Here is a 14,251-nt window from a genome sequence, read left to right as displayed (position 1 = left end):
AAAACAGGAAAAGATGAGACTGATTTAATTTTAATGGATACCGAAATTGCCCCTGGACAGGCTCACTGTTCTTCCTGGTACCCAGTGTCACAATGAGGAGGGTCTGATGTATGTGTGGTTTTCTTCCTTTCTAGGTAAGCTGTCTGTTCTCTCTGGAAGATGGCAATGCTTTCTCTTGTCTTTGGTGTTCTCAGTCTCAGGTAGAATAGAGACTCAGAGCTTACTGGTCTGGGACTGGCCTGATTGTGTCGTTTAACCCCTTTACCCCTGTTGAGTCAAAGCCAGTGCTTTGTATCGTATCAGCTCTGAGATCTTTTATTAATTCTCTGTTATTCTTCCTAGAATTTTCTGTTTTCTTTCCTGGAAATCCTAGAGAAACACTGGATACCCTGGATTGCATGTAAGTGTCATCTCCTCTGAATTTTCTTTATTGTGGTAAAACACACACAGTGAACATCAGTGTCTACTTATCTCTCTGCATTCTGAGAGATTTCTTTGATCATAACTTCCAGTTCATTAATCTGGACTTCAGCCATGTTCATGCTGCTGACTTGACTTGTTCTTGCATTTTTTGCTGGAGATGTTCAGATTTTTAATTTCTGATAGTATTTTCATCTTTGTTTTTGGAGGGGCCCATCTGTTTAATCTTATGAATGCATTAGACTCTTGGATATCACTTCTGATACGAATTAACATTTTGCAATAATGGGCTGGGCATGGTGGCTCACACCTGTAATCCCAGCACTTTGGGAGGCAGAGGTGGGTGGATCACGAGGTCAGGAGATCGAGACCAGCCTGGCCAACATGGTGAAACCCTGTCTCTACTAAAAATACAAAAAAAAAAAAAACTTAGCTGGGCGTGGTGGGACGTGCCCATAGTCCCAGCTACTCGGGAGGCTGAGGCAGGAGAATCGCTTGAACCCAGGAGGCAGAGGTTGCAGTGAACCGAGATCGCACCACTGCACTCCAGCCTGGGTGAAAGAGCGAGACTCCGTCTCAAAAAAAAAAAAATTTGCAATAATGTTTCTGGGTCTCCATATCACTTCTGTTTCCCAGAGCCATCTGCTGTGCTTGCTTACCCCGTTGCTTCTCATGTGTGCCGGGGGGTGGGGCTGATCCAAGTATTTGGAGGCCCTGATGCTTACGCTGTGGAACACAGGACTAAGTCGATCGGCCGCCCTGGCTGCTGTGGCATCTGCATTTATGTGGATCTACTTTACTAACCTCTTGTGACTCTGGACCAGAAGAGACTGCTGGCATGGGCCAGTTAGCCAGGAGAGGCTGGACCCGGGGCAGCTGGGCAGGGGCCAGGCAGGGGTCCCGTAGCTTCGGGCTCAGCCACAGTGAGAGCTGAACCTTGCAGTGGAGCTTCCATTTCCTCCCCTCCTGGGGACTACCAGCTTTGCTACCCATCCGTACATTTAATTGCCTCTGAGTCTCTAGTAAGTGTTTCAGGAACTCCACGCAGCTCTTTCTCCCTGAGCCCCTCTGCTCACCCCATGGTCTTCTGGAGACAGGTGGTGAGCTCTGGACAGCATTTCCCCGCTTCTGCCTGGTGGAAACACCCCGTCTCATTGCTCGCGATGGGAACTGGGCTTCGATTGGCTCCGTTCTTCCAGCGCGCCTCCAGTCTCCTGATTGGCTTCAACCTTCCCCGGGGCTTCTTTCTCCCATATTTTGGGCTGCAGTCTTCTCTCTTCAGCTCAGTCGGATTCTGTCTTCATTTCTCACGAATGTGTCACAACTCCTGGACACTGATTTCCAATGTTCCTAAGGATTTATTATTATTATTATTATTATTATTATTTGAGATGGAGTCTCATTCTGTCGCCCAGGCTGGAGTGCAATGGCATCATCTCAGCTCACTGCAACCTCTGCCTCCCGGGTTCAAGCAATTCTCCTGCCTCAGCCTCCCGAGTAGCTGGGATTACAGGCACACAACACCACGCAAGGCTAATTTTTTGTATTTTAATAGAGACAGGGTTTCACCATGTTGCCCAGGCTGGTCGCGATCTCCTGAGCTCAGGCAATCTGCCTGCCTTGGCCTCCCAAAGTGCTGGGATTACAGGAATGAGCCACTGCGCCCGGCCAGGATTTATTATTTTTAACTTATATTTTCTCACATTTGGAGAAATGTTGAGTGGAAAGGAACCGTATGCACTTACTCGGTCTTCCAGTTTGATTTGGATCAAGCAGGAAAAGGAGCTAATTAAGTTGGGCATTCAAAGCTCTGAGGAAGTGACTTGGGATCTAAGACCCAAGGCACGAAATGCAAATTAAACATTGTAGAGGAAGGCGATGGGCTGCCTGAGCACTGAGGCGTCTTCCGGCTGAACGGAAACAAACGTAGGCCTCTACTTTAGAAAGAAAAAAGATGTAACAGCACGAAAGCTTAAGTATGCTACAAATAGAACAACAAAATATTAGAAAGAAGTTTTGAAATGCTACTTTTGTAACCTGGAAGTTGGGAGATCTTCCCTTAACCAGAACAGAAAACCCAAAACCTTAAAGAAAAGTTAAATATATTTTACAGTATCAAATTAGGTATTTTTACATGGCAAGTACAAATTATAGCAATCTAACAAGTGATAGACTGAGAAAAATGTCTGCAGTTCATATGATAAAGGGTTAGCGTCCTTCATAGACCAAATTCTCTTACTTCATGTTGAGAAAAAGTCAAGCAATGCAATGGGAAAAATAGCAAAGAACAGGAACTAGCCATGTGCCAAAGACGATCTACGGACAACTAATAAGAATTTAAAATGAGGCACAGTGCGGGGTTAGGGAAATGCGAACTCTGGCAACAGCAGAGCCTGCTTCTCCGCTTTGGAACAGCAAACATCAAAACTCCGCACCTCTGGAGCTGCTGAGGGTGCGGGGAATTAGTTCACGTTTCTGGCAGAAGTGCATACTGAAATGATCTTTTGAGAATCTTATCTGGCCTTGTCTGCTAAATTAAAAGTGAATGTGATTTATCCAGCGATTGCTCAGGGGGGCGGGGGCCGGTGGCTAGGGGAAAAGTATCACGCAGGCATTTTAGCATTTGTGTGCATAAACCTAGGGGTTTAGGGGTGTTTATTGAAGCCTTTTTATGAGGACAAAACCTTGCACCCCTGCCAGCTGCCTGCCTTTAGCAGACGTTGAGTGGAACACGGCGCCTGTCCTCAGCCAGCCTCAGGAGGAAGAGGCTTTCCTTTATGTGAAGCCATGGCTGACCCCAGGGTCCCTGGTCCCCATACTGTTGATGTGCAAACAGGCACTTTCCCAAGGCAGCTGTCCACCAAAAGAGCTGGCTCAGCAGCAGCTGGAGATGTGAAGTAGCAGAGAAGGCCGTGTTCTAAGAGTCCGGTGTGGGACGGGTCCTGGTTTTGCTTAAAAATAATGAGACAGAAAAGAAGCCCACTGGTATGTGTAATGTGAGGTGTGTGTGTGTTTGCACACACATAGAGAAAGGCACAGAGACAGATTAATGATAAACCAAGTTTCTCAGGTTGCACCTCACAGGTGCGTTTGACGCAGGAGGGAGATCGCTAACTTTTCCATCACATTATCTGACTTGCTACAATGAGCATACGCTACTTTGGTAATTAAAACATCAGAAAGCAAAACAGAGCAAAAATCAAGTAGAGCGAAAAAAAATCGTAAGGTTTTAGATTGCTAGATTAGGACGTTAGTCTCCAAGCCAAAAGTAGAGTGTGGACTATTTTTGGGGAGAGGGGACAAAGTCCTCCCTTTCTGGGGTATCTTAGCCAACTCAGGCTGGAATAACAAAATGCCATAGGCTGGGGGGCTCCAAGAACAGACGTGGTTCCTCACAGGTCTGGAGGCTGGAGGTCTGAGGTCAGGATGCTGGCAGCGGTGGGGTCCAGGGAGGGCTCCCTCCTGGTTCACGGACGGCCCCTCCTCCCTGTGTCCTCACACAGCAGAGAGAGGAGGCTCTGGTGTTGCTTCTCATAGGAGCCCTAATCTCATCACGAGAGCTGCACCCTCGTGGCCTCGTCCCCTCCCAAAGGCCCCACTTCCTAACACATTGCAATGGAGGATAGATTCCCCATATGAATTTCATGGGGCACAAACGCTCCATCCTCAGCAGGGGCAATAGTGGTTTGAGTTGGAGCCAAACTCTTGATCAGAGAAAGGCAAGGGAGAGCAGGTCCCTGGAGAGATGAGTCCACAGCACAGGCCAGCTAAGGAGACAGCCAGGCTGGCAGGCTTTGTCAAGGTCAAAGGTGCCAGACCCTGTGTGGGCACTGAATAAAACCAGCCACCCAGGCCAGGCGCGGCGGCTCATGCCTGTCATCCTAGCACTTTGGGAGGCTGAGGCGGCAGATCTTCTGAGGTCAGGAGTTCGAGACCAGCCTGACCAACATGGCAAAACCTCGTCTTGACTAAATATACAAAAATTAGCTGGGTGTGGTGGTGGGGACCTATAATCCCAGCTACTCAGGAGGCTAAGACAGGAGAATCGCTTGAACCCAGGAGGCAGAGGTTGTAGTAAACTGAGATCGCACCATTGCACTACAGCCTGGGTGACAAGTGAGACTCCGTCTAAAAAAAAAAAAAAAGAAAAAGCAAAAGAAAAACACAAGAGGCCCTTGAAATGGCCATGCTCTCCAGCTCAGGTCCTCCCAGCCTTTCCCTGCCAAAGTCCAGCTCAGGTCCTCCCTGTGTCTCCCTGCTGAGGGGTTGGATGATGAATCACTGGTGGGTCAGGTTCCTCTGTCTCCTGTACTTTGTATAAACTGGTGCTTTTCAGAATAAAGACACCGTCCTCGTTCATTATGTTTTATTAAGAAACATGGCCAGGCGCAGTGGTTCATGCTTGTAGTCCCAGCACTTTGGGAGGCCAAAGCGGGTGGATCACCTGAGGTCAGCGGTTCGAGACCAGCCTGGCCACTATGGTGAAACCTCGTCTCTACTAAAAATACAAAAATTAGCCAAGTGTAGTGGTGTGTACCTGTAATCCCAGCTACTTGGGAGGCTGAGGTAAGAGAATAGCTTGAACCCAGGAGGCAGAGGTTACAGTGAGCCGAGATCACACCACTGCACTCCAGCCTGGGTGACAGTGAGACTCTGTCTGAAAAAGGTTCTAGGTAACTCCTCGCCTCCTACTTTGTGTCTTTGTTCTCCTGAGCTGAAAACCTCTATTCCCAAGCAGACTGCCCTGAGGACCCGGTTACTTTCCCCTACACTTGCACCCAGGGCCCGGGGCACCAGCACCAATGCTGCCCATAGTAGCATGGACCCCGGACACAGCGGGATGTCGAGGGCCCTTTGTTTTCTATTTTCCCAGCTTTTGTCCCATCTGGGAGTTCCAGCCACATCTCCGTGTTTTATTGTCTTTGAAACAGGAGTCATCAGCGTGGTTTTGCCATCACTTGGTGCATAGTTAGGCTGTTGCTTGTTTTTGCTTTCCATTTTTAGGGATTGATCCTTTCATACTTACGTAAAACACTGATGAGGGGTCAAAGTTGCCTCTAAACAAAGCTGGGGCTGCCCAGAGAACCTGAGCTCACATCCCCTCCACCCTTTCCCCTTTCGACCCTCAAAGGTAAAACATTCTAAAAGTTTTACAGATCGTTCTTTCATTTTTACAATTCTACATACTTGGATACAAGATGCACGTGTGTATCCAGATAAAACCACTCGGTTTGCTGAAGGCAAGGCGGCCAGACGGGGCTCCCTCGGAGCGCTCAGGCTCTGGCCGGCACTTAAAGGAAAAGGACCTTCGTGACAGACCGGGAAATACCAGGAGCCAAAGCCCCCTGGTCAGGGGTGACCACCTCATTTCAGGACTGAGGATGAAGGCTCCCCAGGCCCAGAGGGAGCCGGTGGAAAAGCTCTCGTCCTAGGAAATCCTGTCTGCAGCACTCCCCGTGCCCCCAGGGGGGTAGGTATCTCCTCCCCATTGGGGTCTCTCATCTTCTAGGGGCCTGTGGGGCGCCTCCCACCGCCTGGCTGTCCTGGCCACCATCTGGGCTCGGAGGGAGAGGTCCACGGGGCCAGTCCCCACGGGACAGCTAAACCTATCTGGGTGGATGGAGGTCTAGGGAGCTCAGAGTGGAAAGAACAGTTTGCTCTGGCCAGGATTCCAACCGGGGTCCTCTTATGTTATCACTGAAGGTTGCGGGGTCCTGCCTCTTGTCCTGCAAAGTCACGTTTTCGTGGAGTTTGTTCGTTTCCTTGTGAGGGGACTAACTCGCTGTGTGTTTTCCCATCTCACCCTCTCCTCTCCCAGCTCTCGTTTTCCCAAAGAACTCACATGAGAGCCTGGTTTCCCATGGCACTGGAGGGTCCAGTTCTTTGTTACGTGGTAGAAATGTGTGTGGGAAGAGCCAGGCTGGCAGAAGCGGGCGGCGAAGGCTGGGATGGCGTGGTCAGCGTCATGAAGGCAGCATCCCTGGAGAAGAAGCTCCTCTGAGCCATGATCACAGCAAAGTGGCACTCCTCTGCGCTAAGACGCACTCCACACCCTGCTCTGTCATCTTTGTGGTGAAAGAGTGGCTTCAAAATGTCATCGGAGCAAACGGGGACAAGTCGTACCTGGCAGGACACTGAGCCGTGCACGGCTGCCCCCCCCCCCCCCCGCCCCCAGCGTCTGCAGTGGAAACCGAGTCCCTGGGGAGAGGAGAAAAGCTTCCTGGAAGGAGGAGGTGTTCACTTTCTACCCAAAATATCCCACATTCTCCAGGTCCCTCTATTTTTCTTCTTTTCTTTGCCCATGGGGAGAGGTCCTAGGAGGGTGTCGGCACAGAGCAGGGGCAGGGAGGGTTGGACCAGTCCCATGCCTGCTGGGCTGGGTCAGGGTGTCAGTTGTGGGGGATAATGTTGGAAAAGCACTGAGAATCAGCCAGGCCCGCCTCACCAGGACTGGGAAGAGGGATCCCACGGCCTGGGGTAGGGGCCCCACTGCCCTGGGCTGGGGTCCCGGCTGCCCATGGGACCAGGATCCCGGTCGCCTTAAAGGGGGTGCCAGCTGCCCTAGGGGGTATCTCAGCTAAGAGGGGAAAGGTCTCAGCTGCACAGGCTGTGGGGAGGTTTCAGCTGCCTGGGGGTCGGGGGTCCCCACCAGTCACAGCTCCCGGGGGTTGTTCTCAGCACCTGGAAGGCATGCGTGAGCTTTTGCCCCCAGGCCTCGCCAGGGCCAGTTCTAGGTGCTATGACGCGTCGAGAGCCAAACAAAGCCCGTGGCCCTCACAGGACTGCACATCCAGCAGCAGGAGACAGGAGGAGGCAAGGGACCTGCGAGAAGCGGGAAGACCCAGGACTCAGCAGGGTGAGCAGAGCAGACTTGCTACGACAGCAGGGCAGCCAGCAGGGAGCTGTCAGCACAGCAACGCAAAGCCCAAGGCCTGAGTGTGAGGGAGGGGAGGGCGAGGGGCCCAGGTGGGGTGGCAGAGGGAGGGGAGGGCGGAGTTCCCCATGGAGGAAGGAGAGGGACCGGGGGCGGAGGTCCCTGTGGAGGAAGGAGAGGGATGAGGGGGTGGAGGTCCCTGTGGAGGAAGGAGAGGGACAAGGGGGTGGAGGTCCCCATGGAGGGAGATGACAAAGGCGCACCTTTCTCAGCAAATCCGGGAAAGGCTCCTGGCCAGGCCACCTGTGCAATGGGTGTGTAAGCTCCCGTGCAGGGCAGTCTCTGGGGGGCTGGGAAACGGTGTGCACACTCTCAGCTTGGGGTCAGTCAAGGCTGGAGGTGGTAGGGTGAGTGTGGAAACTGTCCCCACAGGGCTCGTAGGAATGCAGGAAGGCAGTGCCCATGAACACTGGGTGTCCCGAGGCCATGGGAGGCGCCCATATCCGGCAGCTGTCACCAGGTGGCCGGGCAACAGGGAGAGCCAGAGTGACGATTCAGGTGTCGGTAGGCAGGAAGGCAGATTGCTAACTGTGGTCGCCCAAAATCCTGGCAGGATTTGTTTACTTGCAATAGGTAAGAGGCTGGAATCATGGAGAATGTGTCAAGCATGGTATCTGATTGCCTCGGATGCTTTTAATTTTGGAGAAGCAGCTGCTGCCGAATGCTCGGGGAACACCCCACTGGCCTGCGCTCAGCAAGGCCACAGACCCCACTTTAGTAGCCACACTTGCCATCCTGAGCCCGAGAAATCCAACCTGCTCCCTGCAGGAGACAATGAGGTGAGCTGGAAGAGGCTGTACAAGCCCCAGCCCCCAGAAGCCATGATGTCTCCCTACAGCTCAGTCCCCTCATCTTCAGTTCCCAGCGGCTGAGTGGCCGCCTTCCTTTATGTTTGATTACCTGGGCATGCGCTCCCCATCAATACAATGTCAGCTGACTGCAGGTGACCGTGTGATGATGGCCATGTGGCGGTGGCCGTGTGGCGATGGCCATGTGGCAGTGGCCGTGTGGCAGGTGACTGGGTGGCGGTGACCGTGTGACGACGACCATGTGGCGATGACTGTGTGACAATGTCCGTGTGACGATAACCGTGTGATGCCCCCAATTTCTTCAGGTCTTCTTTTGTCCCGATGCCATTTTCTATGGAGGACTGAAGTCAAAACGCTGTGCTCCAAAGTCACTTGAAGCAATGCTTTTCTCTCGGGATTTGTCACCAACTTGATATATCATTAGGTTCTTTTGTCTTGGCTTGTTTTCAGTTTTCAGGACGGCATTTTCTTCTTTTGGCTTTAATTTTATTCTTGTTTGTACAAAATATAATGATTCCAAGCTGAACTGTGTTAACAGGATATGCCACGAGAAGGTCCTCTCCCAACCCTGACCCCTCTGACCCCTCCCTGACACCCCCACTTCAAGATAGATTTCTTAATTTTTTTTTTTTTTGAAACAGGCTTGCTCTGTCCCCCAGGCTGGAGTACAGTGGTGCAATCTTGCCTCACTGCAGCCTCAACCTCCTGGGCCCAAGTGATCCTCGCACCTTAGCCTCCTGAGCAGCTGGGAACACGGGTCCGAGTCACCAGCCTGGCTATTTTTTTTTTCTTCTTCTTTTTGTAGAGACTGGGTTTCTCTGTGTTGCCCAGGCTGGTCTTGAACTCCTAGGCTCAAGCGATCTGCCCGCCTTGGCCTCCCAAAGTGCTGGGATTCCAGGCATGAGCCACGGTGCCTGGTAGATTTGTTGATTTTGGGTTTAGCCTCCCAGCGTTTCTTTTTACAGTGTATGTACATATGTGTGTCCACAGCACTGTGGTCATGGTTCCGGTCCTCCACTGCCTCAGAGCACCATGCTTCAAATAACAAGGTAATGAGCCTTGCTCTTTCATCCAGTTTGGACAGACATGGGCTCTGCCCCTGAGGCAGTGGGAAGCTGGGTCCTCAGTCCTAGGAAGGCCCATCACACATCCTACAGGTGCTCGGTGTGTGGTGTGGCTGTCAGGGGGACCCCATGTGGGCTGTGGCCGGGGGCTCTGCGTGGTCTCCCCGTGGCCACCTGGCTTCTCGGTGGCACAGCGGCTGGGTTCCAAGGTGGACGTCCCAGATGGACCAATCTCTGGCCATTGATCACTGCCTTTGGTGACCCAGCTTTGTCAAGGCCACATCCACCCCAGTCACAGGTCTGCTTAGACGGGAAGTGGGGCATCCACCCTCTCGGGGCGGGATGAACGTGTGTGAGGTGGGGATACTGGTGCAGCATAGCTGAAAATACATGGTTTGCCCCATTTCCACATAAAAGAGGGGACGTCGTACACCAACCCTTCTGTGCCCAGCTTTTTTCTCTCCTAAACCACGGAAGCCGGGGCTCTCATCAGTGCACTCCGCCGGCCCTTTATGTGTTGCACACCTTTTCACTCCGTCCAGCGAACAGGTCTGGACACAAATCATCTGGTGCCTTTCTCAGCATGCCTTCACAATCGAGTTTTAAGTGTGGGACTGCCAGGCCGAGGTCATTCACTGTGCGGTTTTTCATTCCCTGGTGATGCCAGGCTTTACTCGTCCATGCACTTTTGACGGCAGCCTAGTGGTTTCCTCGGGGTCCACTACAGACAGGCGGTGTGGACGCCCCATCCGTGTGCACAGGGATCTCTAGGATGAGAGCAGACGAGGCGTGGACTTGCTGGAGGCCCAGACAGCTCCTGCAGTTTCCAAGGTGGCTGTGCCAATTCGCACGCAGAAGTGTGAAGGAGTTCTCAGTGTCCCTCATTCTGGCAATATTTGCACATCAACACTGTAGTCTTGAACCCACTGTGGGTGTGACAGTGCATTTCTGTGACATAAATTGGATGTCCCCAACAGCTCACAAGACACCACCTCCCTGGGTGCTGAGTTTCTGGTTGGCACTCCTTCAGTCGGGAAGGGCCCTGCCAGCCTTTGGGCATCTTTCAATCAGGCTGGCTCTTTCCTGTTCATTCTAGACCCCAGCCCTTCATCCGCTGTTTATATCTCAGACACATCCTCCTGCTAGGTAGGGTGTCTTTCACTCCTCTTATCAGCCCTCCCTTTTCTCCATAGGTAACAAGAAAGCCAAGTCTGGCTGCGTCTGTGCCCAAAGTACCGCACTCCCCCACATAGAAGAAGCAGGGCTCTTTTCGGCTGCAGCCGTGGGGGCCGAGCACATCCTGAGTGAGTGCTGGGCTGGGCGCCTGGGACCCCCATGACTTATAGATGCCACGCTCACAGCAGAGCATAAATACTTCACTAACCCTCCATTTGTTATTCGTGCTGAACGCTTCGGAACTTATGCAATATGAATTACGTTTTGTAATGGCCCTCATGCTGGGGTCTTCTGGGAAAATATTGTTTTCAGCAAGACAAAGCAAATTGCAGATGTTCCTGAAGGAGCTTCACTCTTGAACAAGGAAATACATTTACTCTGACATAGTTGCTCGAATGATCTCTTGTGTTATCTTTTATTGAACACAAAATGAGGGCTGCTCATCCAAGTTATGTGTGGCTGGATGTCCTCGAACTGGAGTCCGAACTTGAGCAAGCAGAGGTTGAGAGAACTCCGGGTGTGTCTGTGGGGATGCAAGAGGGCAGCAGTGGGGGCCCCTGTGAGCCTGAGTCACTCTTGAGATGGACACACAGTGCCTGGGGTCCTGGGGCCCCTTGGTGCCTGGCGGCCCTGGGTGGCTGCAGGTGGCGATTGGGCTCCTCCAGGTGCCCCAGGCCCAGGCCCTCAAGTCCCCACTCCCCACAAGGGTTCACAGCTGCCAGCCCTTAGCAACTCTACTTCTTCACACACAAGGCAAGGGCAAGGTTGTAGCGGGGCAGGGGGCGGGGGGGGTCCCTCCGGATCAGTCACTTGAGCTGAGATTCCGGTAGACACCAGGAGGGGCTGACCAGTGGTGGGAAGAACATACATCCATGGGAAGGAGGCTGACAACCAGAGGCGATGACCCCTCGGCATGGTTAGGGAGGAAGAGGACATGGTGCCAGTGGCCCCAGAACAGGTGGATGGGAAGGACTGACAGGCGAGGCTGGGTCAAGGTGGGGGCTGCAGCGAGGGGTGGGGGCCTGAACGAACAGCCTCGGTACTCGCTCGCACCTGCTTCACTTTCCTAGGTGGTAAATCTGTCATTTCAAATACTCAAAAATACCAGGATGGCCGTGGCAAGTCTACAAGCCCCACATCCAACTTTAGAAGCAGTGGCCACCCTGAGGCCCTGTCAGGGGCGGAATGGAGTCCCCCCAAAAACACACCCAGGTCCTAACCCCTCCTGCCTGGGAATGCCACCTTGCTTGGAAATTGGGTCCTACAGCTGTCCTTAAGGTCAGGACTTTGAAATGAGAGCCTCCGGGAACAGGGAGGGCCCTAAATCCAAGGACGCGTGTTTTTGCAAGTGACAGAGAGAAGTCCCCAAGCCGGGGAGGAGGCCGCCACGTGAGGTGGGGGTGGGCTTGGCGCAATGCTTGGCCGGGCAGGGGCGCCGAGGGGAGAGGCCGGGGACAGAGCCCCTCAGGGCCCCCGGAAGGACACCTCGCCCTCAGCCGCGCGGACTCCAGGATGAGAGAGACCGACTTCCGCTGTGGTGAGCCAAGCAGCTGCGGCCACGTGTCCCAGCAGCCCTGGGAAAGGGTGACGCCCAGCAGGCGGCATTGCGCCCTGACGCCGGGGACCCAGCACCCAGCCGTCCTCGCCCGCAGGTGCCCTGGCTCTGCCCCGGCCCTCCCTGGTCTGTGTCCTGACTCTGTTTCCCGTCGCCCAGAACGCCGCAGCCAGGGCGGCACACAAGCCTCGAGGGGCGGGGTCCGGGGGCCCCTCTTCCATCCGCCTTTCGTCTCCCTCCCTGCTGGATCTGAGGCGCCGCTCCCGCCGCGCTGTCCTCGCGCCATGCCACGTCACGTCACGTCACGTCACGTTACGTTCCCACGTCACGTCCACGTCACGTTCCCACTTCCCGTCCACAGGGAAACGGGCCCCGGCGATGTGAGGGCGTCTGCCGTGCTTGGTGCCTTCACAGGGGAGCTTCCTGCCTTGGCCGCGGTTCCAGGCTCTGTGCTGACGCAGCAGGAGGGTCCCCGGGCAGCCCAGGCAGGCGACGGGGAGTGACGAGGGTCCTTCACAGCCATGGGAGCCGAGCCCAGAGCAGGCGGCAGCAGCGTCTTTGCCACCCCTGGCCTAAAAGCAGCCGTGTGGGGCCCCTGACAGGTGCCCCGGAGCGAACTGCCCTCCTTGGCCCAGCCCTCAGGGTCCTGCCAGGGCCCTTGCTGCCCAGAAGGCCCGGGGCCCGGCTGACGACCCGCTACACCGTGGGCCCCCGGCTGAGTGTAGGATCTCAGATGGAAACACCCTGAACTGCCACCGGGCGAGTTAAAGGAGCACCAGCTGCTCCCCTTCCCGAGTCCCACACCCTTCCCTGCTCCCTGCCTCGGTTTTCCAAATTCCACGGGCGTGAAGTGTCCCCTGCGTTTAGGGATTCAGCCCCCCAACAACTTCTCCAAAACATCTTCCTTCACTGCAGGCTGCCTCGGCCCGAGGCCCACACAACCATGGAGAGGTTTACAGACAGCTCTCGGCGTCCTGCGGGCTGAAAGCCCCCCTGGACCAGGCAGCTTTCCGACAGGCTAATGCCCCCACCAAGTGGACGGGGCGTGCTCGGCTCAGGGACACCGGGTGCCTTTGTCGTCAAACGATGGAGCGAACGTGCTCATTCTGCAGTCCCACAGGACTCCCAAAGCACCTGGCAGGGCCCTCACCACACTCAGCCACCTTCCTCTCCCACAACCCTGGCTCTGTTGCTCCAAGGCCTCTGCCACCTCCTTCCTCAGCACCAAAGAACGAGGAGACGCGCACCATGACCCCCAGGGACGGCCGTTCTCCTGCCCACTATCTAGGCATTAGTGAGCGTGGGGTCAGCTGCGGGGAGATGGAGCGGCGTCAATGGAGTGATAAACAGTTTATCCGCACGATATGCCAGCTCCAGCCCATCTGTCCTAGTGCCTGCTGTCTGCAGAGGCACCGGATGGATCATGCGACACGGAAATGCGGGTGCGGCCAGCCAGGATGGATGCTACCCGACCTCCGAGGGAGATACAGCCGTGATGGAGACCCCGCTAATGGATCAGAAGAGGAATGGGGCCCGCACAGGAGCGGCGAGGCTCATGCATCTTGTAGAGGAGCTGAGATCCTAATCTCTCAGCCAGCCGCTCCCTCACACTCTCCTTTCTGCCCTCCCCCACCCGGGAAACAGGCAAGCCACGAGCCCCGGGCCTGGGCAGGCTGCTCTGAGGCCGCTCGCTGGCACATGGGGTTGCTCTACAGGGTGTGGGGTGCAGGGTGCAGAGTGCGGGTGGCACCCCAGTGAGTGGTTTGGGTGCTGTCTGCAGCTCTCCCAGCCACCTGGGCCAGCAGGGGCTTCTTGCTGGGGAAAGGGAGACCTGCTTGGGGGGTTCCTCATGTCAGTGCCCCCCACATCCCAAGGTGCTGTTGGTCAGAGTGGGAAGGCCGTGACGAAACCTGTTCTTTCTCCAAGCGTAACAAGACCATTCACTCCCTCCAGCTGTTGCTTCCCAGGTGAGGCTTTCCTCAAGAGGGAAAGGAAGAGAAGAGCCAAAAAGTGGCTCTCGTGGCCATCGTCCTGAGCTGAGCTTCTTCCTGAACCGGTGCCAAGGACAATGGGTCAGCTGCGAGGTCGGCAGATGAACGCTGGGAGCAGCCCCTACTTATGCGGGCTCTGCCTTTTGGAGGAAACGCATTTTCCCACCTGTCACGCACCCATTCCCAGGGCCCCAGGACCATTTGTAGGCAGTGACACTGGCCGAGCTGCCCATGGCCACCCCCCAGCACCCAGAATTAATGCCAGGGGTCAGTGACTTGGGGATTGCATTTCTAGAGTTAGC

General features: G+C 54.6%; 2 annotated features.

Annotated features, from left to right (window-relative positions):
* Window positions 7,267-7,906: an enhancer, noted in NCBI's record as "H3K4me1 hESC enhancer chr5:1751136-1751775 (GRCh37/hg19 assembly coordinates)". NCBI's record gives its function as "activates a minimal SCP1, AML or CMV promoter by ChIP-STARR-seq in naive H9 embryonic stem cells {active_cell/tissue: H9 hESC(naive)}" and the evidence as "EXISTENCE:reporter gene assay evidence [ECO:0000049][PMID:30033119]".
* Window positions 13,096-13,595: an enhancer, noted in NCBI's record as "H3K4me1 hESC enhancer chr5:1745447-1745946 (GRCh37/hg19 assembly coordinates)". NCBI's record gives its function as "activates a minimal SCP1, AML or CMV promoter by ChIP-STARR-seq in naive H9 embryonic stem cells {active_cell/tissue: H9 hESC(naive)}" and the evidence as "EXISTENCE:reporter gene assay evidence [ECO:0000049][PMID:30033119]".

This window comes from Homo sapiens, chromosome 5 (assembly GCF_000001405.40).
Source record: "Homo sapiens chromosome 5, GRCh38.p14 Primary Assembly".
NCBI classification, from domain to species: domain Eukaryota; kingdom Metazoa; phylum Chordata; class Mammalia; order Primates; family Hominidae; genus Homo; species Homo sapiens.
The sequence above is the reverse complement of the archived record's forward strand: the minus strand, read 5'-3'. Positions and strand labels throughout refer to the sequence as shown.